Here is a 24,777-nt window from a genome sequence, read left to right as displayed (position 1 = left end):
ATTTTGGGTAGTTTGTTACACAGCAATAGCAATGGTATCACAATTGCACTCTTAAAATTATTCATAGTATCTTTCATTACTCAGACAAACATCAGTAGGAAAACAACTCATTTTCTTTCTTCAAAATTATAATCAAATTAATTTTTTTAATCTAAGGTAGCAAAGTCTTATTATTATATTGTGAAAACTTGTAAAATATTGAAGAATTACTATTTAGCATATAATAAATTTTAACAGGCATCAAACCAGCTGTTAAATCTTATAGCTAAAGACAAAATTGTTATCAACATAAAAACTGTGCATAAAACTGGGCAATGAGCAAGCATAATCATCAAATAAACATTTTATACAAATAAAAGGAGTAGGCCAGGCACGGTGGCTCACGCCTGTAATCCCAGCACTTTGGGAGGCTGAGGCAGGTGGATCACGAGGTCAGGAGATAGAGACCATCCTGGCTAACATGGTGAAACCCTGTCTCTACTAAGAATACAAAAATGAAATTAGCCAGGCGTGGTCGTGGGCGCCTGTAGTCCCAGCTACTTGGGAGGCTGAGGCAGGAGAATGGCGTGAACCTGGAAGGCAGAGCTTGCAGTGAGCCGAGATTGGGCCACTGCACACTCCAGCCTGGGCGACAGAGTAAGACTCCGTCTCAAAAAAAAAAAAAAAAAGCAAAACGAAAACCAAATAAAAGGAGTAAGCATGTATTAGCTTCATTAGTGAGGACACCATGAAAAAATGATTTTCAGTAACTACACAAAAAAAGTAAATGAATTTGGTAGAAGAAATATTGAGTTTACACATTCCAAATGCAAAAATGCTAACCAGAGAAAGCTGGCATTAATTTGAGAGCAGTAGATGATGTTAAATACAGAATAAGATGAAAAGTTCTAGTGAAAAATTTTTTCTGTTAAAATATTTTTCAGTAACTGATTTTTAAAATGAAAATGTTTCATAATGAGTATATAAAATATTTAGAGAAGTTATTTAGAATTTATTTAGAAATTATTAGACTAGAGAAGTTATAATCACATATAAAATTAAAGAATCATCAGATAGTATACTAAATCACACTGGTATACAAAACTGATCAAACTGAATAATTAATCATTGCTTAGGAAATAAAAATTGTAGCCAGAAAAATAGATTAGTTCTTTAGAGTGACCTGAATAAGATGAACAGTAGCAAACAGGAATTATTGCCTTGTATTCAGTAATTATCATATGTATGGGATATCACTACGTACACCCTTCACCTACAGTCACATATACCACATTCTCATTCACACTCACCATCATCTTGTTTTATGGTTATATAAGTACGTACACATATATACATACACACATATATATGTGTGTATACATCTGTATATTTATATGTGCACACAGTATGTATATACATATATAAATATCCATGTGTATATATGTTTATAAGCCCATTAACAGACATGATAATTACACAAAACCAAAATGTCAAAAAAAAAAAAGAACTAATAAAAACATTACTAGATGTTTCATACCTGAAGTTGTAGGTACTTCCACAGTAATACTACTATATGGTGGAGGGGAAGAGTCAGTTTCAAGTGCTGGTGCTGAAGACGCAGCCTGCACAATCTGCGGTGCTGGGTTTGAAGTAGGTGGCTGCTCTATAGCCGATGATTCTGAGTTATCCTCTTCATTAAGAAGCTAAGAGAACAAAAGAAAAACAAAACATTAATGTAATGCTAATTATTTTTTAAATTTTAAGCTGATTTTATCATTTCAGACACAGTATCGCTTTTTGGCCAAACACAAAGAAAATGGCATTTTTAGATAGTATACAAAATCACACTAGTATTTCAAAGTTTTTAAAAAACAATTTGTAAAGACTTAGTTATTAAGAAGTTCAGAATTTTCAGTTTCTTTACAATAAAGAGGAAGGTCAAATTAAGAATTTACAAAGAAAATATCATGATTCAAAATAAATACAAATTCATATGATCCTAAAGTAGATATCAAAGGTCTACCACATCCCTTGGATAAGGGGGCCTACTGTAATTTTAAAATCAGGTACCAAAAGAAGACTCCAAGGTTTCTGGCCTATTGAAGCCATTTATTGAAATCGGAGAGACTGTAGAAGGAGAAGGTTTGGTGCTACGGGGAAGAGGAAGTATGCAATTGTAACAGTAGAGTTATTACATACTACAAAGAAAAGCAAAAATCCTAATAACATAGCCACAATACCATCTCTACTACCATCTCTTCCTACTTATGAGCCTCCTGAAAAAATGTGTGAATCTAGAATAATCAGAAATGAAAGCTGAATTAATGAAATGGAATAAAACAGATAAACATTCTAAAAATGTGGAGTACGCTAAGTAGGTTTTCCCAAGTACAAAAAAAATTATTAAAGCAAGGCTGGGCACAGTGGCTCACACCTGTAATACCAGCACATTGGGAGGCCAAGGTGGGTGGATCACTTGAGGCCAGGAGTTTGAGACCAGCCTGGCCAACATGGTGAAGCCCTATCTCTACTAAAAATACAAAAATTAGCTGAGTGTGGTGTCGCACACCTGTAATCCCAGCTACTCGGGTGGCTGAGGCAGGAGAATTGCTTGAACCCGGGAGGCAGAGGTTGCAATGAGCCAAAATTGCGCCAATGCACTCCAGCCTTGACATTGTCAAAGTGACAGAGCGAGACTCCGTCTCAAAAACAAACAAACCAACAAAAAAATTACTAAAGCAAAATAAGTTGATGTGTATATAAAATTCTAGCAAATGCTCTTCGTCTCAACAAATTCCTTGAGAGTTAATAAATGCTAATAAAATGTTGAGATCTTGAATTACTTAACTGAATCTCCACAACAACCTAGGAGATCCTAGGAGACAGAGACTGTTATTATCACCAATAAAAGGAAAACAACAAACAGGAAGTGCAGAAGCTAAAGTAACTTGCCATATGTCACAACAGTAAGAAAGAGTAGAGTAAGGAATTAAAGCCAAGCAGTGTGACTGAAGACGTTTTACTTCATTTATGGTAAACTTTGAAATGGCCATTCCTCACGAATTGGTAATAACTACATGCAGACAAACTAAGATGAGTCAAAGGCATCAATACGATAAAAAGTGATTCATCAAGAAGTACTTTGATCCTTAAATATATTTGGCAAAAAGTCTTATTAAAAATTTTTAAGATACTTTTAAAACTGGAATCTCTATTTCAAAAGAAACTACTAGTTTTCCATATTATTTAATTTTCATATTTTAATTTATTCCTGTTACTCTAAGAAATTCAATGTTAAAAATAATCTCCCAAATAAATTTTGTCACAAAGCTAGTATACATACCAATTTGAATGTGATGTAGCAAAATGAACATGAATTTTGGAATTTAGAAAGAACAGCATGTTGGACTGGGCACAGTGGCTGGCACCTGTAATCCCAGCACTTTGGGAGGCTGAGGGAAGCGGACTGCTCGAGCTCAGGTGTTCAAGACCAGCCTGGGCAATATGGTGAAACCCAATCTCTACCAAAAAATACAAAAAATGGTCAAGTCTGGCATGTGACTGTAGTCCCAGTTACTAAGGAGGCTGAGGTGGGAGAATCACTTGAGCCTAGGAGGATGAGGCTGCAGTGAGCCGTGACCACGCTACTGCACTCCAGCCTGGATGACAGGGTAAGACAGTGTCTTAAAAAGAAAAAAGAAAGAAAGAAAAAAGAAAGATCAGCATGTAAATTTTTGCTCTACCTTTTAGGACCTCTGATAAAATCTTCTCCATGTCTTAGTGTTCACCTATTAGCTCTGAATGCAGCCAAAATCCTCATAGGCTTGTAAAATAATATTTGGAAAGCATCTAATATAACAACCAACACACTGAAGGATTTAACAAATACTATTCTCCCACTTCTTCCCTTTTATTTAGTTTATTTCATCACCTTAAAGAGAAATTATGTGGTACTCTCTAACAATCCAATCAGTAGTCACTCATCTCTGAAATAAATAAGTAAATGCAAAGTAAAACAAGAGGTCAATTTACTACACATTGCTTTTTCCATGTCTTGGTAAATGATCACACTAGCAAAACATTTTTGTGAGATAGTGAATGTATTATAACTTAACAAAACTGTCATAACCATGCCTAAAATCATTTATGAAGTTACTAAGACCACTCTTTCCACAAACATCATAACATTAAGATTTACATAATGAGATCAATTCACATAAATTGAATTCAAAAACCAAATAATCGTAAGTGAATTTTATGATTATGAGCCTAATGAAGTTTATATTTCTTGCAGCACTTTTCCAAGTAGGCACTAAATGACTACCCTCTTGACTAGTGACATGTTGCACTTGGTATTACCATCCGTCTCCCATGTCTTCCTACTACATGGTACCCAGGAGAATTCCTCACTTAATTATCTTTAACTGATAATATTTTAAGACCAAAAATGTTAGATCAGCAAGGTAAGCCCAATAAAAGTTAATACAGATGTCTACTTGTTAATATCACCTAAACAATTAATTGTGAAGGTGTCAAAAAGGGAAAACCACTTTTCCACATCTCTTATTAAAGCTGCAAATGCAGATACAGCGAGCTTTACAAACGAAAAATCTTATATGCAAAACAGCACTCTTCCAGTTTCTCAAAAAAAACACTCTTTACTACATTGAATACATAAATGTGCTCCCCAGAATGACCAACTTACTTTCAAAAACTGTCAAAATTTACTCAAATAACTAAAATGAAAGGAATAACTACAAACACTTTTATATATAAGCTCCAAAATAAAGCTTTGGAGCCTATAAAACATGCCCTAATTTATTTCAACTGCCCTAGCTAACACCTACGGTTTTGACAAAATTATAATATGTGAATATTACCATGCATCAACAGTAAAACCCACTAACTCAGTCAACAACCTCTGCCTACTGTAGCATATATAACTTTCAATTTACTTTAAATAAAATTCTGTAATTTTGATATCTTTGCCGGCAATAAAATTGCCTCTGTGAATTAACCAACTTTGACTGCCTTTTAAACAAATCCATCACGAGGGTTAAAATAAAGTCATATTTATCAAATTAGACAATTCTACTTGAGAATAATTTTTCTTAATCATGTTCTCCAATGGTTCTATTTGACATTCATTAACAATCATCTAAACAGCAAAAAAGGGAGGAGAGGGGAGACAGGAGAGGAGGGGACCTACTTGTATACAGTGATGCCTAAGCTCTGTGCCCTATTTATACATCACCTCAAAAGCCATCATTCCTGCTCTTCCTACTTATGAGCCTCCTGAAAAACTGTGGGCAATATAGCACATGAAAACAAAACTGTCTTTAATGTATCAACCAGGGTGGTGAAAAGTTGTATAGTGAATGAACCGAAATTGTTTTTTGTCTAAAGAAAAAAAAATGACAACAGAGCTCTCTTAAAAGCATTTGTGGCTAGTCTTTATAGATATATACTGAGCATTTTTAATAACAAGAAAACTGTAAGCATTATGATTAACTCTAGCTGGAAGTACAGCCTTCCAGTGCATAAAGATTGTTTCTTTTACTTTTATTGGCATGTATCCTATATAATAACCTTTCATTCTATCTTAAGGTGATAAAACATTAATGTAATAACTGGATGCTTTCCTTTTGAGAAGCTAGAGACCTCACTGAATGTTCTCTAAAAGAACCAAGATAAGAATGTGTAGATGTGCTATCAAGTGTTGCTTGGCAAGCAGTGCACTACATTAGAGTCTGGTGGGTCAGCCAGCAATGTGACCTCTTCTTGTTTCTTTTCTGTTTTAATTTGGATGTAGGTTAGACCTACAGGAAGAGAACTGTAATTTTTAAAAAATCATTTTTAAAGTAGTAAAAAAAAGTGATCTAAAAAACCAATGAATATGTATACTATCATATTATTACTATATTTAGCATCAGAGGGCAGATCCAGGAATAAGAGTCATTGCAATGAGATAAATATTAGCTCAATAAAAAACTTGGCTGAGTGTAGTGGCTCACACCTTGTAATCCCTTTGGGAGGCCAAGATGGGAGGATCACTGGAGCCCAGGAATTCAAGACCAGCCTGGGCAACACAAGGAGACCCTGTCTCTACAAATAATAAGTAGACCTAGCTACTTGGGAGGCTGAGGCAGGAGGATAACCTGAGCCCGGAAGGTGGAGGCTGCAGTGAGCAGTGATCGCACCGCTGCACCCCAGCCTGGGTGACAAAGTGAGACTCTGTCTCCAAAAAACAAAACAAAACAAAACAAAAACTTTTTTACTATTGGAGCTACCCATGGCACTAGATTTTTAGTGAAGCAACAAATACTTTCATGCAGAGTTTGGATGATGATCTGGCAAGGCTGTGGTATAACTAGAGTGAGCATACACCTGTTTTTCCCAAGATACTTCCACTTTATACTTGTTGTTCCAGGGTCCCACCCAATTCATCATGTTCCAATTTTGTAAAATTAAATAGTCAATCTATATATCATGAACCTCTTGTCCTCAGTGGAATATTAGAGCAGATGACAAAGGCTCCTTCTAACTCTAAGATACTATGACCCCTGCCCCCCACCCAAAAAAAAAAAAAGAAAAACCTTAGAGTATATCATTCTGTGTCACCTTTTTAACACCTGATTTAGGGGAAAAAAAAAACAGATTAGAATTACAATAAAATCAAATAGCAGAGTCAAGCTACTCATTGAAGTTACCCAAGAAGAAGGTGAGCTACCTCATCTGTGCTCCTAGGAATTAATAGCAGGTGATAAGAGATCTCTGCAGACAGCCTAAGTGTTCTAAACCTACAGCTCAGAAGAAATGTACCCATTAAATAGTGCTGCTCAGCATACTGAGCTAGATTTTCTACCAATAAAACTGACTTATGGCAGTCGTTCTCATATAAACACTCAATTTGGCAAATTAGAATTTTCTTAAATTTAGGGTTATTTTCCAAATGTCTTTTCCACTAAACCTCTGCTGTCTCTAGACACTTTCCTGCTAGTGGGAGCTAGCATATGACAAAGCAAAAATATGAACCATTAGGAAACAAATCTATAAGCTGAAAATAAATATTAATGTAAAAGCTGCAAGTTAGCAAATCATGCCTAATTTTCAGCTTCTTGTTTTGAAAACAAAGTGATGTGGTTTTAAATTTTATAATATAACACAGGTATATCTTCTGCTAGTAAAAACATTTCTTGTTAGTATGACAGAACATATCTGTACAGTTGTATGCCACATAATGACGTTTAGTTCAACGATGGGACACATATAAGATAGTGGCCTCATAAGATTATATCAAACTTTTACTGTACTTGTTCTATGTTTATATATACAAATACTCACCATTGTGTTACAACAGTATTCAGTACAGTAACATGCTGTACAAGTTTATAGCCTAGGAGCAGTAGGCTATACCATACGGCCAAGGTATGTAGTAGGCTATACCATCTAGGTTTGTGAAATTAGTCTACGATGTTCACCCAATGAGATGAAATCACCTATTGCATTCTCAGAGCATATCCCCATTGTTCAGCCACACATGACTGTATTTTATGGTCTACACAAAGAGCACCATGAGCTCCAATCCAGATGCTCAACTGCTATTGAAAATGATATAATCTGGAATTGTAACCAAACAACTTCGAAGAATGCAAATCAGAAAGAGTATCTTTTTAAAAAAATGTAAGGGGGGGATAATTAAGCAGGCAAGAAGTGATGAAAGAACAGAAAACAAAACTTTATTGTCAGACTAGACTGTTTTTCTGAGCTCCAGGACTGTATAACCACTCACTAATCCTTTGCTTTAAATAACACTAAGCATAATCACATACAAAAAAGGAATCTGTATTTATATATGTTCAACTATTTTCCTCCTAACCCTCACTGCTTAGCTAACTCTACATATTGTTCAGATTTCAGTTTAAAATCAAGTTCTGAGGAAAGCCTTTCTTGTCTCCCAAATGTAGATTAGAACTCTTTGATATAATCTTAACTTTAACCCTGTTCTTCAGAGTACTTATCACAATAGCAATTTTATTTATATAATCACTCATTTACAACCTTTTTCCCAGCTAAAGTAACAGCTCTCCAAAAGTGGAGGTTATGTCTGTCTTGCTGAACACTGTGAAAATATTAAATAAAAGTAAGTCCCCCAAAGTACTCTGCTTCAGCTTCCGTTAAAATTTAAAGAAAATATAATATAGGTCACCAGTCATAATGACATAAGATGGAAAGCCCTGAGAGAGAAGAACCTTGCTAACACAAGTATTCTGCCATCTCTAACAGCTAGTACTACTTTTCTTAATATGTTGCCATTACTTTTAATGGCAAAACCACAATTACTTTTGCACCAACCTAATACATTAAAGGAGAGAGGGCTGGAGAACATTAACTTCTCAAAACAAAGAAGCCAAATGGGTGGGATAAAGATCTTATATAAATTTCTATTTAAAAAAGAATCACAACTCTGGTCAAATTCCTTTTCATGTGTTAAAACTGCAACATAAATATACTAAATACCAAGATTCCCTCATGGAATACAACATGCTCTATATGGCACATTCATTAGTTGTGTTTACACTGCTTTAATTAAAAGAGATATGCTTCTTGAAATCTTACAAAATATCAACAAAAACATACTCTCTTCAAAATTCTATTTACCTTACTCAGATCTTAGCCAAGAAAAAAAGTATTTACAAATCTGTCCTACAATTATGACTTTTTATCAATAGGTCAATGCGATCTGAACATATTAATAGCTTGCTGATCTCCTAATCCTTAATGGAAAAAAAAAAAAGAAGAGAAAAAAACTAACATAAAGGAGAGGAAAACATGAGTGTGCTGGGTTGACACCTTCTCACACTTTCTTTCCTCTAAGGTTGTCTATCTTCCAGGACGCTGCTCCCTGCTGGGCTCCACTCACCCTCTCAAAGTCTTCTGAAAATCCAACAATCTAGCTCCCATCAATTTATCATGAAAAGCCCACAATGTATGTCATTAATATCTATATGTTTCATCATGGGATGATGTTCAGCTCACTTTTTGTAGTTTTATATCACAATATGTGTTAGATATATTTTAAGTTTACTTTTAAAAGATGACATTTTTTGAAGTCTGGCAACTAACTTGAGTTTGTGTCTCTCCATAGTATAATATCTTGATTTCATTAAGGCATGGAACTTTTTGAATATTTGCTGGTGACTATGCTGTGTGTTAAACAAAGTAGACATGTGACTGTCTCCCTAAAATCCTTTCCATAACTCTTTCATTGTAAGTCCACAGTAATTTCTGTGGGAATTAGCCCACCTGACTCCAAGGCTAACCCCAACTACATTAATCAGGATACTCCTTTGGCATGGCAACTGGTTGGTACCCAGCCAGCATGGCTCTCCTCCTGGGCAGGATACCTGGGTCAAAGGTAGGTGATAAGGTAACCTAAAATGATCCAATTATAGTAAAGACCATGGCACATTTTAATATTCATGTAAATTAACCAAGCTAATTTCCAAGACAAATATGGCTTCCATCAAATTATGTTTTAATAAAATGACAACACAGAGTAATCCTGGTTTTTAAGATTTTCCTCCTTAAGTGGCTTGGAGACCATAATTTAGAAACCCAAATAGAGAAGCTACAACCACAGGACCAGCCCAAACTGGGCCTACTCTGTCAATAACAAAATGTCAAGTACCTTTTAGGTGTAACAGATTCAGAGACTGCAAGACATGTAGCCTGGTCATGTGCAATAGAAAAAGCTTGATTTCTAACAATCCCCACAACCAAAGAATCCTCCCCTCAGAACCAAGAAGACTGGGATGTGACCAAAAAAAAGGGTTCATTGGCCCAGAAGATCTGAGGCTACAATCTGCATCAATATACCTTTCCACAAATGGTCAAATGTGCAGCTCTCCAATCAGACCCTGCCAAGCCAACATTCCTAAATCCTTTTCCTGGCCCTCTGATCCCTTAAGAGTTGCCTTAGAACCTAAACTGGGGAGACAGATTTGAATCTGTTCCTATTTTCTCACTTACCAGTTTTGCAATAAAGCCTTTTTTTTTTTCCTCAAAAGCCAGTGCCACATACTATTGGTCTCTGTGCATCCATAGGCAGCAACGGCAAGCCCATGTGCTTGATAACAAAGCTGCTTCGATGCATTTTTTAAAAGCAGAAGACATTTTAAATGATAGTGTTTGAATTTATAAAACAATTTAAATTTTTAAGTCTTCAAAATATTCCAATGCTTTGGTTTTCACAAGCTAACGTAGTAGTATTCTATCCAACAAAGGCATTGACAATATAATGATAATGGTAACTGGTAATCAAAGGTTTTGTTGCCTTAATCAAATTAAGTAAGGACATTTTGACAGATTCTCCAGAAAGTTTCTGATTTGCATGTAACAAAAATTAGTCAAAAATGGGGTGGCTGGTAAAGTTTTAAAAGTAAAATTGTGCAAAGAATATATGCATAATTCTAAAAGACTGAAGTCTCACACATTAAAGCATAGAAAAATATCAAAATATTCAGCAATCAGAATCTGAACATTAAGAGGTTTTAAAAGCAAAACTATTTAGGGAGAACAGAAAACAAGAACTAGTAAATTCTAACTGCAACCATTTCCTTCCAGGAAACATTCACTTGCAAGTCTGTGCTGCTTTCTGAGCCCCTGGGGTCTTAGGGACACCTCGCAATCTCTAATTAGATTTGGGAATACGTCTGCCTTCCCAATCAGATCATAAGCTTTTGATATTTAGGAAATATGCTTTGTTCATCTTGGTATCCCCTAAATTAGCTAGCAGAGTTTAGGGCATAGAATTGGCTTCATATTAAATATACTGTCCTCTAGGCCTCCTAGAGTTTTTCCCTCATGGAAATGGGAGCTTGTCAAATAATGGATGCAATATGCACTGAACACCTCAAGATTCAGTATCACACACCTCACAGATTTCTATGATTCCCACAGTGCTTTACATATATAAACCTGAAATATTTCATCATTCAACTGTTACGAGGCAGTCACCATAATTTAGTAAGTAAATATCTGACCCTAAAAGTTTACTAAATTAAACAATGGTTTCTGAAAACTACAGGTCACTGAATATATATCCCAAAGAAGAATGTAAATGCCAACCCCACATCACCCAAGTCTTTATAATAACTACTACTTTTGTGATGGCCATGCTTACCATAGCTAGATGAGAAAGCTAAGGAAATCAAAATACTGTACCCCAAATTATACGTCTTTGACATAATTTGAGATTGCTATTCAGAGGGCCTGCAAATAGAAGTAGCCCTGAAAAGCTATCTTTTGTGGGAGATTTCCATTTATAGAGAAAATCTACATTGATGCAGCCAGGCCTTCTCTGAGGGCCTTCCGTTGTCCAATCCAGGAAAGTTTAACTGAGAGTCTGACACCTTTAAAGTCTAAAACAAACATTCACCATCTGTTGTCTGAGGGCTGCAACCCATGAGGTTTCATCTATATAACAAGGCCACCTTTTTTTTTTTTTTTTTTGAGACAGAGTCTCGCTCTGTCACCCAGGCTTGAGTGAAGTGGCAAGATCTCAGCTCACTGCAACCTCTGCCTCCCAGGTTAAAGCTATTATCCTGCCTCAGCCTCCCAAGTAGCTGAGATTACAGGTGTGTGCCACCAGACCTGGGTAATTTTTGTATTTTTAGTAGAGACAGGGTTTCACTATGTTGGCCAGGCTGGTCTCGAACTCCTGACTTCAGGTGATCCGCCTGCCTCAGACTCCGAAAGTGCTGGGATTGCAAGCTTACAAGCATGAGCCACCGCACCCGGCCAATAAGACCATCTTTGATAGCCAAGTCCTCCTCTTCTCTCCATCCCATTACCTGTTTTGCCACTATAACCTATTTTGCCCACAATCCAAGCCCCATTCTTTCTATAACCTCAAGATGGTATATAAGCTTCTGAATCCATTGTGGGGTTGGCAGTAATCACTCTGTGGTTCTCCCCTGTGTGTATCTTCATAAATTTTTACTCCATTTTTCCTATTAAGCTGCCTTTAGTCAGCTGATTTTTCAGAGAACTTTCGGAAGGCAATGGGGAAGTAGTTTTCCCTTGGCTCCTACACAGCCAAAAGTAAAAAGGGTCAAAAAAAAAAAAACAAAAAAAATCACCATGGGCTCACCTTCTCCCATCACAGAATCAAAGAGTAGGCTACGGTCAGTGGATTAGGGATTAACTGCCTAATACTTTTAATACACTGATGGAAAAAGCATCAGTGACTTACAACACAGCAATAATAGCAAATGTTCATATACAGGACTTCTGCCTGTCAAAAAAAAAGTACACTCTTAAAAAACATACAAAAAAGAACAAAAATAGATCACAAAAGGGACAACTTTTTATGCAGATTTGTATAAACCAAACATAAAATTCTAAGCCCCCCAACCATCTGAATGGACTCCTGTGATAGTTAATACTGAGTGTCAACTTGGTTGAAGTATGCAAAGTATTGATTCTGGGTGTGACGGTGTTGCCAAAGGAGATTAACATTTGAGTCAGTGGGCTGGGAGAGGCAGACCCACCCTTAATCTGAGTGGGCACCATCTAATCAACTGCCAGCGCAGCTAGAATATAAAGCAGGCAGAAAAATGTGAAAAGATGAGACTGGCCTAGCTGCCCTGCTTACATCTTTTTCCTGTGCTGGATGCTTCCTGCCCTCAAACATCAGACTCCAACTTCTTCAGTTTTGGGACTCAGAACAGCTCTCCTTGCTACTCAGCTTGCAGATGCAAGGCCTACTGTGGGACCTTGTGATCGTGTGAGTTAATAAACTTCTCTCTCTCTCTCTCTATATATATATATATCGATAATATACATCCTATTAGTTCTGTTCCTCTAGAGAACGCCAATACAACTCCTCCCCTTGGCCAAGGGCCTTCCAAAGTTAACCTGTAAAACTAATTCAGGCCATGATGAGAAGAGGGAGCAGACATGCCTCTTTACCATTAAAATCAAAACAGACCTTAAGGCTGACAGAACAGACTCTGTAGGTCTGATAAGAAGCATTTATAATCTATTCTCTCTGAAGCCTGTTACTTGGTGGCTTCATCTGAATGATCAAACCTTGGTCTCCACAACCTCTTATCATAACTTCTTTCTACTGATTCCAAGTCTTTAGATAATAACTCAACCAATTGCCAATCAGAAGATCTATTAATCCACCTATGACCTGAAGTCCCCACTCTCCACTGCCCCCCTACCCATTGTCCCACCTTTCCAAACCAAATAAATGTACATCTTACACATACTGATTGATATCTTATGTCTCTCTAAAATGTATACAAGCAAGTTGTAGGCCAACCACCCTGAGCACATGTTGTCAGGACCTCCTGAGGCTGTGTCACTGGCATGTCTTTAAGCTTGACAAAATAAATTCCTAAATTAATTGAGACCTGTTTCAGATACTTTTTGGGTTACATAGTTTTAATGTTTAAATTAAAAAAAAATGCTAACTCTAGAATAATTTTATTACACAAAACACATAAAACAACAGCACACAGAAGAAATGTAAATCAATACAAATAAAATATTTCTAGTAATGAAGGAAGTAAAACTGCATGTTGGAAAAGAAGAGAGTTGGAGTTGAATTATTGCTAGTAAGAGTATAAGTTAATTGAATCACCTTGAAGAACAATCTGGTAATTCCTACTGTCAGAGATGTTTGAACCAGAGCAACTCCATCTTGAATAGGAACTGGGTAAAATGAGACTGAGACCTACTGGGCTGCATTCCCAAAAGGTTAAGGCATTCTTAGTCACAGGATGAGATAAAAGGTTGGCACAAGTTACAGGTCATAAAGACCTTGTTAATAAAACAGTCTGCAGTAAAGAAGCCGGCTAAACCCCACCAAAACCAAGATGGCGAAGAGAGTGACCTCTGGTCGTCCTCACTACTACACTCCCACCAGCAAGCATCTTGACAGTTTACAAATGCCATGGCAACGTCAGGAAGTTACCCTATGTGGTCTAAAAAGGGGAGGCATGAATGATCCACCCATTGTTTAGCATATAATCAAGAAATAACAATAAATATGAGCAACCAGCAGCCCTGAGGGCTATTCTTTTGATTCTTTACTTCTCTAATAAACTTGCTTTCACTTTACTCTATGGACTCACCCTGATTTCTTTCTTGCACGAGATCTAAGAACGCTCTCTGATCCAGACCCCTTTCCAGTAACACTAGTAAAGGTAAAAGTGTGCAGGACCCAACAGTTCTACTTCTAAATGTTAATACTAGGAAATTCTCACATGGAAATAAAGAGGCATGTACAAGAATGTTCAAGGCAGCAATATTTGTAATAGTAAGAAACTTAAAACAACTTTCTAGCCAGTAGGCAATAAATAACTATTATCCCATGATTTATAAGACTAATTAGATCTGTATTAACCATCACAGATAAATCTTCAAAACATACTAAATGAATAAAGCAAGCTCAAAAAGTATAAAACAGAATACTAAAACAAATACATTTTCACATAATCTAAAACTAAAATATACATTATAATAAGGCATACATGTAAGTATTCAAAGAAAAGCAGAAAAACATTCACAAAAATGATAAATATCAACTTCAGGATAATGTTAAAGGGATTAAGAGATGAGGAAAAGCATAGAATGTAAAACTTTATTTCATTTCTTAAAAAAAAAAAAGTTCAAGATCTCAAACAAATACAGCAAGATGTTAACATCTATTATGTCCACGGTGGATATAGAACTATCTTTTACTTTATGTTTGAAGTGTTTCATAGTTTTAATATTTAAATTTTAAAAAAAGTTGATCCTGACAAGTTGTATTCCACGAATAGACATTTTTAAACATGAAAGAAGACAGAATACACAGCACCCATGTGTCCTTGAAAAAGCAACTACCCCATGATGAAAACAAGACAACTAAAAACTCAATCAGAGGCCGGGCGCGGTGGCTCACGCCTGTAATCCCAGCACTTTGGGAGGCCGAGGCGGGCGGATCACGAGGTCAGGAGATCGAGACCATCCCGGCTAAAACGGTGAAACCCCGTCTCTACTAAAAATACAAAAAAATTAGCCGGGCGTAGTGGCGGGCGCCTGTAGTCCCAGCTACTTGGGAGGCTGAGGCAGGAGAATGGCGTGAACCCGGGAGGCGGAGCTTGCAGTGAGCCGAGATCCCGCCACTGCACTCCAGCCTGGGCGACAGAGCGAGACTCCGTCTCAAAAAAAAAAAAAAAAAAAAAAAACTCAATCAGAACAAAAAACACAGAAACAGAAAATCCATGGAAAAGATATAATGGTAAGCACTGAATCCATTTAAATATAGAACTAAGGTTAAACATAGAGCTAAAGACTAACTTCTGGTAAACAGAAAGCAAATATTATATGCCCTAAAAAAGCAAAAATACAACATAAAATTCAGAACTGAAGAAAGAGATGACAAAACGTATGAACAGCACTCAACTTCATCTTTCATGGCAGGGATTTCATATCTCATCTAAATTTTAAACATGCAGTTTTAAAAAATACTCCGATTTCTTACTGTTTTTTATAAACTATTTTCCCAATTTTAGTGAACTCTTACAGAACCTAAGATTTTTGTGGCAAAGAAACCTTTACCTAGAGTTCAACATTTACCTAGATCTTAAGGTATTTTTCCCTTGTTATTAAATTCAAACAAAATAATAATTTAAATTTTTGTTTTTTAAAATAGCACAATCCCATAATTATGAAATTATTCCTGTCTGTCTATATGTAAGCATGAATAAGATGATGTTCACCAAATGTTAACATAGGTTATTACTGGTTGGTAAGATCTGGGTGCCTAGACTGCTTGTCTCTTTATACTTATATGTACTGCCTATATTTTTTAAAAATAAAGTATATATCGCTTATTTTTCAAACACAAAACACACATGTCAGCCTAACACTTCCCATTTTAAAACTATACCCTAGGGAACTAACGAGAAACTTAAACAAGATTTCTTTCTAATGTTGTTCATCATGATGTTACAATAATAGGAAACTGGAAAAAACAACTACTTGTCCAAAATAGAAGAGTTAAACAAACTCACCGTATCAAGACAATAAAATATTATATAGCCATTTAAAATGGTGTTTTGAAAGAATATTTAATAGTATAAGGAAATGTTCATGAAAAGATGTTAAAGAAGTAACAGAGTTGTGTCTGTGTGTGTCTGTGAGAATCATATATTATTCCAATTTTAAATAAGACAAACATGTTAAGTTTTTAAATGACTGTTAATAGACGAAATAGGTAACATGGTTGCTTACAAGTTGTATTTTCTTTTTTCTTTTTCACTCTTCTGTATTTTTTCCAAGTTCCCTAGAATAGGGATAAAGAAAGGAACATATCTTTCTGTTTTTAATGTAGGACAGAAGGTAACATGTTAAAGAGATTTCCATCTGTGCTTAAAGGAATAAGTTTCTACAAGTTAGAAAACTCATATTTGTTAGATTTCTCCATGATGATAAACAAGATCATCACAGATTCTACAACCATTCAAAAACCTCTGATAATCATTTTCGTCTTTACAAGAAAGTCAAGTACATAAACACAGATATGATGTTGGTTGCCATCAATAATTTAACACTAATAATACATAGAGTAAATACCAGCATGTATCCACTTTAAGGTGATGATTTTCTAATGAAACCCAGTTTAGAGGTTACAATGATTCATAAGGGCTTTTTTTTTTCTCTTTCCCACTTGTTACAAGATTTTTCCTCATAGTGCCCTTTTGCTGTAACTAGTTATTAGCCACACTGTATATTCATTTATATAATCTAAAATGGTATTCTATTTTCACAGCAATACTACCTATTCTTTGGGAGCTTTTTGGTTTTTGGGTTTTTTTTTTTTTTAAGGCAAGGTCTTTCTCTGTTGCCCAGGCTGGAGTGCAGTTGCACAATCTAGCTCACTACAGCCTCTAACTTCTGGGCTCAAGCAATCCTCCCGCCTCAGCCTCCCAAGTATCTGGGACAAGCAGGCACCATCATATCTGGTCAATTTATTACATTTTTTTTGTAGAGCTGAAGTCTTGCTATGTTACCCAGGCTGGCCTTGAACTCCTGGGCTCAAGCAATACCCCTGTGTTGGCCTCCCAAGGCGCTGGGATTACAACCATGAGCTGCTGCGCCGGCAACTACTTATTCTTTAGAACTCCCACAGTAAGGATAACACACCCACATTGTGAGCAACATGCCACCAAAGTTCCAACTGCTTTATTCAACAATCCGGCTAATAAAGGACTCTAGCAACCTTTCCACAAGCAATTCTGTGAGAAAATGTTCATTAGGCACCCAGCACAGTAGCAGTAAGCCATTATGGCAGTAACTGTTGTGTTGGTCAGTTTTCTCCCACTGATGCCCCATGTGTAAGTGTAAACAGTGCTTCTTCAACCCAAATTAAATTCTAGAAGTCAGACATATTCACATTATCTGAATGCTCTATGGCAAGAAAGTACAAAAATGCCAAGAACATGTTACAAGGATGCAAGAGCAGATGGAACAGGCTCCTGCTGGCCAAATCTGGGATAATCTGAGCCTCAAAATAAATTATGACAGTATCAGATTATAACTCATAGAATAAAACATGAATCCATGAATTCATACTGATATAAATGAATAGATGGGGAGCAAGAGAAAACTCTTCCTTACAGAATTCTAATTAATAAACATAGAAAAAAATGGAATTAGGAAATCACCATTTGACAACCACTAAAGTTATAACTATTTAAGGCAAGAACCACCAATGAATTTTAAAACCAGTGAGTGAAAGTATAATAAAACAGAGCTACAAAATAACTGACCTGAACCTTTCTAAAACATTAATGTAATGAAAGACAAAAAAAAAAAAATTTAGAGAACTGTTCCAGGTAAAGAGACTTGATAACTGAGTGTAATGTTTAATCACAGATCAGATCTCAATTTTTTATAAAAATGTTTTTTCTTTTGCTATGTGACATTAGTAGGAAAACTGGTGAAATATGTTTAATATTGCACCAATGCTACAGATTTTGATAACTGCACTCTATATAAGACAACATCTTTGTTTTTGGGAAATACACACTGAAACATTTAGATATAAAGAAACATCATTTCTGTCATTTACTTTAAAATGTTTCAAGAAAAAATGTACTTATATACAAATACAGGTAAAGAACTCATCAGAAAACAAATGTGATAAAATATTATTTGGGGAAACTGGGTAAAATATACACAGGAATTCTTTGTATTATTTTTGCCATTTTTCTGTGTCTAAAATTATTTTTCAATAAAGTTTAAAAAGCAAAATGCTATATAGTAAGAAAGTAGAATATATTGTATAAAAACAAATACATTAATTTAAAACTTTACAATTCAGTATCTAAAAATTTTCCCTCTATCTCTAGAACCCCTATATGATGATTAACTCCTCTATACCTTCAGCCATTTTATAAAATGATCTCTCCACATTTAACTGAACTCCAACTTTCCATGAATGGCACTACATCCCTCAAAGCCCTCTCAAATAAGGGTGCTAATCCTCACATCTCTCCCTCTTATCTGGGAACAAGAAGACAAGGAAAATTTTCTTGGATATTTTCAATTCCAAATCAAGAGGCTCTTTTGAAATTCACACTGTCCATACAGCCTGCCAGACTCTCTATCACCCTATTCTTATCAGTGGCATTGACAGGAGTCCAAATTATTCCCAGTGAGTAAGATTTATAAGCCAGCTCTCCACCCACAATATCATCCCCTCAACCTTAAATCCTACTGTAATACAAGACAACTAAACCATCCTAACACCTCAGCCACAAAACAAAAAGTAATGATGGATATCTACAGTTGAGTGGTCCAGTAAACCTCAGTTCTCTACCCTCTGACAGAATCCCTGATCTGGTCATCATCTAGAACTGCTTCTTCCCAAAAACATTACATTCATACAACTTGGTTCCTTATCCCAACCTTCTGGCCTCAACATTTTTCATTCCTTACTTCCACTGAGCCTATTCTCTGGGCCCTCTATTCCCTGCTACCTGATTTTACCTTCTATCCTATGTAGTCTGGACTATAAAATGCAAAACTTGTATGACCTTCAACTGCACCCTCAATTCTCTAGTCCGCTTATCCTTGGCCACATCTATCCCATTAAGACTCAATTTGGGATAAGTCTGTCTACTGCCTTCTGGTGGAGGGAAGACAACAAATCACGTGACTATGTAGGTGGCTGCCACAGCAAATTTAGTTTCCAGTTCCAACAAGGCCATAAGAGTTCACTGACACCATGGCAGGTGTTCCAATTCCACCAGTCTCCACTTCTAACCATGAGACTCTCAGTCAAAATCTTTGCTTCCTACTTCATGGAGGAAAATAAGCTTTCAAGCAAAAATTCCTTCAACTTCTCTCCTCTGCAGCTCTAAACTTAGCATTATGGCATCCATCCTAACTTATGTTCTTCACTCCCAAATGCCAGACAACTGTACAGAGAAGATCTTGCCTCCCAAAGGATTGTTTTTTCTTTAAATTCTCTCTCCTTCCTTTTCAACACTGACTTCTTTCTCCCTACCCACGTGTATATTCTATTCACACCATACTTCAAAGAGAAAAAAAAAAAACCTCCCCCCAGCTAAAAATAAATACTTTTTCTTCTGCTTTTTGAACTATTTCCATAGCTCCCTTCTTTCCTTTAGTGATAAACATCCTGAAAAGAAATATATATGTATGTATATACTCCCATTTTCTGTACTTTTATTTCCTCACCAATTCATTACCATGTGGCTTTCACCCAAACGTCTCGCTGAAAACAATGACCTTCTAATTATTAAATCCAAAAGCCTATTTTCAGTCCTCATACTATTTAAATATTTAATATATCCAACACACTTAACTGTACTTCTAATTAGTTTTTCTTTAGCTTCCTGATAACTATTCCCTCCTGATTTTCCCTCTATCTTCAACCATTCATTCTGTTTCTTTTGTAAGGGGCTTTATTCTCCTCAGCCAACTTTAAAGAGTCTTATCTAAAACTAAATCCAGAGCTACGGATACTGTCTCTGACCCAGGGACTGGACTGAAGCTGGACGGTGTGTAACTGGTTTGGTTTAAGTTTCATTTGCAAGGGCATTAAAGCAATTAACCCCATGTAATATTGTTAGAGTTACTGTTAGAAGAATTCTTTTGTCCTTTTTAAAAATTAGCATGATGTACTGTCTTATTTAATTTCACATATTTTTAGAAGAAAAGCTAGATGCTAAATGAATAAACTAAAAAAAGAACATGATTTGATGTCAGGAAATCTAAATTTAAGATATAGATCCACCACCTATGAGCTGGATAACCTTGGTGTTATTAATCTCTTTACGCCTCTTTTTCTTTTTGCGATTCATGCATTTTCATTCAGTCAATTAGTCATCCATCATTCAGCTAACATTTACTAAAAGCCTAATATGTTCCAGGTACAATACTGGGTGCGGGAAATAGGTGCAAATCCCATCTCATTAATCACTAAAACTTCTAGCTTCTAACAACTAGAAATTCTGAGGCAAGGCCATAGTAAGTATGACTTCAGCAAGAGGAATAAAGGAAAAGTCAACACAGTCTATCATAGGCAAACCAAAGAGCTGAAACCAGTAACGACCAGGCCTGAAACACCAACTTCCTTCATGGAAAGTTTCATTCTTCCCTCAACAAACTCAGAGAAGCTAACAACAGAATACTCAAGCAAAACTAAATACAGTAACATCAATTACTTAGACATACTGTTGTTAGTGATTCATCCAGGAAGCATAGCAAATGCCAAGACACCACTACAGATGATAGTCAAGGGGTTGATCCATCAAAGTGTTATATGCCAAAGCAAAAACTCTAAAGTTGGCCGCTAAATCTAAACACATAATTTGAATAACTTCAGAATATCGAAGACGAACACATATATACACACTATCACTCACTCTTTCTGTTTCCCTCTCTCAAAGTTAGCAATCATGTATCCCCCTATACTGATTCACCAAATCACGTTTTTAACAGACTTCACTTCTTAGAGATTTAGATCCACAGGAAAAGTCCGCATAAGGTACAGAGCTTTCCCATACACCCCCTTCCCCAACACAGGCAAAGCCTCCCCCATTAACAACATCCCCCATCGGTGATACATTTATTATAACTGATGAACCTACAATAACACATCATTGTTACCCAAAGTCTATAGTTTACATTAGAGTCACTCTTGGCGCTGTTTCCATGGGTTTTGACAAAAGTATAAGGAATCCACCATTACAGTATCATACAGAGTACTTTCACTGTCCTAAAAATCCTCTGTGCTCCACCTATTCATCCCTCCCTCCACACTAACACCTGGCAACCACTGATCGTTTTACTGTCTCCTTAGTTTTGTTTTTCCAGAATGTCATACAGTTTAAATCACATAGTATACAGCCTTTTCAGACTGGCTTCTTTCACTTAGTAATATGCATTTACATTTCCTCCCTGTCTTTTTGTAGTTGGATAGCTCATTTCATTCTGGTTCTGAATAATAATCTGTTCTCTGTATGTCTCACGGTTTATCCATTCACCTATTCACGGCCATCTTAGTTGCTTCAAAGTTTTGGCAAATATGAATAAAGCTACTATAAACATACATGTGCATGTTTTTGAATGGACCGTAAGCTTACAACTCCTTCGGGTAAATATCAAGAAGCATGACTACTGGACTACTGGATAGTATGGTAAGAGTATGTTTAGCTTTATAAGAAACTGTCAAACTATCTTCCCATGTGGCTATATCAGTCTGACTCCCACCAACAATGAATGAGAGTTCTTGTTCCACATCCTCAGAAGAATCTGTTGTTGTCAGCGTTCTGAATTTGGGCCATCGTAACAGGTATGTAGTGGTAACTAGTTGTTTTAACCATCATTTCAAAATGATGCAGAGTATCTTTTCATTTGCTTACTTGCCATCTGTATATCTTCGGTGGTGAGGTGTCTCTTAAGGTTTTTGTCCTGTTTAATAGGGTTGTAGTTTGAGAATTCTTTGTATATTTTGGATAGCAGTCCTTTATCAGACGTCTTTTGCAAAGATTTTCTCCCAGGCTGTGACTTTTTATTTTCTTGGCAGTATCTTTCACAGAGCAGAAATTTTTAATTGTAATGAAATCTAGCTTATCACCTCTTTTTTTCTAAAAAGTCATCACCACATCCAAGGTCATCTAGCTTTTCTCTTATGTTATCTTTTAGGAGTTTTATAGTTTTGCCTTTTACATTTAGATCTGTAATCCATTTTGAGTTAATTTGTGTAGAGGGTGTACAAGTCTGTGCTTAAGTTCATTTTTTTTTTTTTTTTTGCATGGGGATCTAGCTGTTCCAGCACCATTTGTTGAAAAGACTATCTTTGCTTTACTGTGTTGCCTTTACTCCTTTGTTAAAACCAGTTTACTTTAATTTTGTGGGCCTATTTCTGAGTTCTCTATTCTCTTCCACTAATCTATTTGTCTGTTTTTTCACAAACACCACATTGTCTTGATTACCATATATCTATAGTTAACTCTTGAAGTTGGGTAGTGTCAGCCCTCCAACTCTGTTCTTCTCCTTTAATATTGAGTTGGCTACACTGAATCTGTTGCCTCTCCATATAAATTATAGAATTTGTGCGTCAATATTCACAAAATAGCTTGCTTGGATTTTAATTTGGATTTCACTGCATCTCCAAGTCAGGTTGTGAAGAACTGGCATCTTGACAATATTGAGTCTATCTATCCATGAACATGGAATATCTTTCCATTTATTTAGTTGATTTTTTTTCAAAGTTTTGTAGTTTTCCTCATATAGATCTTGTCCACAGTTTGTTAGATTTATACTTAAGTATTTCTTTTGGGGGGATGCTAACAGTATTATGTTTTTAATTTCACATTCCACTTGTTCATTGCTAGCATTTAGGAAAACAGTCTTTTGTATATTAACCATTTATCCTGCAATCTTGCTATAATCACTTATTAGTTCCAGGAGGGTTCTGTTTTATTTTGGTTTGTCAATTCTTTCAGATTTTCTAAATAATCAACTCCTGTGTAAACAAAGACAATTCTATTTCTTCCTTCCCAATCTATAACTTTTATTTCCTTCCTTGTCATATTGCATGAGCTAGAACTTCTAGTATGATGTTGAAAAGCAGTCAAGAGGACATCCTTGCCTGGTTCTTGTTCTAATCAGGAAAACTTTCAGTTTCTCATTACTAAGTACAAAGTATGACGTTTGATATAGGCTTTTAGTAGATGTTCTTCTCTATCACTAGATTGCTCAGCATTTTTATCATGAATGGGTGTTGGACTTTAATGCTTTTTCTGAACCTGTTATACGTCATGTGATTTTTCTTCTTTAGCCACTGATGTAATGGATTACATTAATTAATTTTTGAATCTTGAATCAGCCTTGCATAGTTGGAATAAATCCCATTTGGTCATGGCATATAATTAATTTTACACATTGTTGGATTTTACTTGTTATTTTGTTGAGGACTTTTACATCTGTATTTATAAGAACTATTGGTCTGTAGATTTCTTACAATGTCTTGTCTGGCTTTGATATTAGGGTAATGCTGGCCTCAGAGAATGAGTTAGCCTTCAATTTTCTGGAAAAGACTGTAGCGAATTGAAATAATTTTTTCCTTAAATTATTGTTAGATGCTATGGTTTGAGAATGTCCTCCAAAACTCCCGTGATGGAAACTTAATCTCCAGTGCAACAATGTTGAGAGGTGTAATCTCCAAGAGCTGATTTGGTCATGATGGCTCTGTCCTCATAAATGGATTAATGTAATCAGGGCAGGAGTAGGTTCTTGATAAAAGGTGAGTTCAGCTCCCTTCTTCTTTCTCTCTCATAATCTCTTCCCTTTCTACTTTTTGACATAGGATGACATGGCATGAAGGCCCTCAACAGATGGCAGCACCTTTAATAATGAACTTCCCAGCATCCAGAACTATGAGAAATCAATTTATTTTCTTATAAACTACACAATCTGTGGTATTGTTATGGCAGCACAAAATCAGACTAGGACAGAAGAATTCTCCAATGAACCCATTCAGGACTGGTGCTTTCTGTTTTGAAAAGTTCATATTTCTTTATTTTTGTATAAATAATACCATTTTCAAGTTATAATGATCATTATAATGCCATATCCACTAGAAAATTTAAAAACACTGCCATACTGAGGTTTTTAAAGAAAACAACATGACTAGCATTTCCTAGTAAAAATGTAAAAACTTGAATTTCATTACTTCATTTGTCTGCAATGGGAACTAAAATGAACAAGACAAAAAGATTCACACCTAGGTTTTACTGTCTCTAAATTCAAGCTCTTTCTATTTTAAGATGCCTCCAATAAAAATTCACAGGTAGTAATCTACCCTGCCCCTCCCTCTCAGCACAAATTCACCTTTATGAGTATTTGTAATGCTGATTTGAATGCACACACTCAAACACACGCATACACACACATCTTTGAATCCATCCACCCACTTCTCTTCAGTGCCACTACCCTAATCCAAGCCACTATTATCCTTTACCTAAACTACTGCCATAGCTTCCTAACTAAATTGCAGACATTGACATTTGGAAGGCCCCCACAGAAAAGGCTGGTTCACCAAGACATGATAAAACTTTGAAACCAAGATCAACAAGTACACACATACACACACACACACACACACACACACACACACACCCCCCACAGATAAAGGATTTAAATGGGCATGGAAGGAACACCCAAATTTAAAGAAAACTTCCAACATGAAAGAAAAACAAA

At 36.0% G+C, this 24,777-nt stretch overlaps 1 protein-coding gene across 3 annotated transcripts in view; it reads right to left on the bottom strand.

Moving 5' to 3' along the window:
- The window catches only part of NDFIP2 (Nedd4 family interacting protein 2), a 74,923-nt gene that overhangs the window by 33,586 nt on the left and 16,560 nt on the right, over positions 1–24,777 (bottom strand). For all 3 annotated transcript variants that reach the window (NM_019080.3, NM_001161407.2, NM_001394685.1), the window contains exon 2: positions 1,517–1,682. In NM_019080.3, the coding sequence (NP_061953.2) occupies positions 1,517–1,682 (166 nt within the window). The remainder of the gene's footprint in view (positions 1–1,516; positions 1,683–24,777) is intronic.

This window comes from Homo sapiens, chromosome 13 (genome assembly GCF_000001405.40).
Source record: "Homo sapiens chromosome 13, GRCh38.p14 Primary Assembly".
In the NCBI taxonomy this organism is placed as follows: Eukaryota; Metazoa; Chordata; class Mammalia; order Primates; family Hominidae; genus Homo; species Homo sapiens.
Note: the sequence above shows the minus strand (reverse complement) of the source record. Positions and strands in the feature narration are given on the sequence as shown.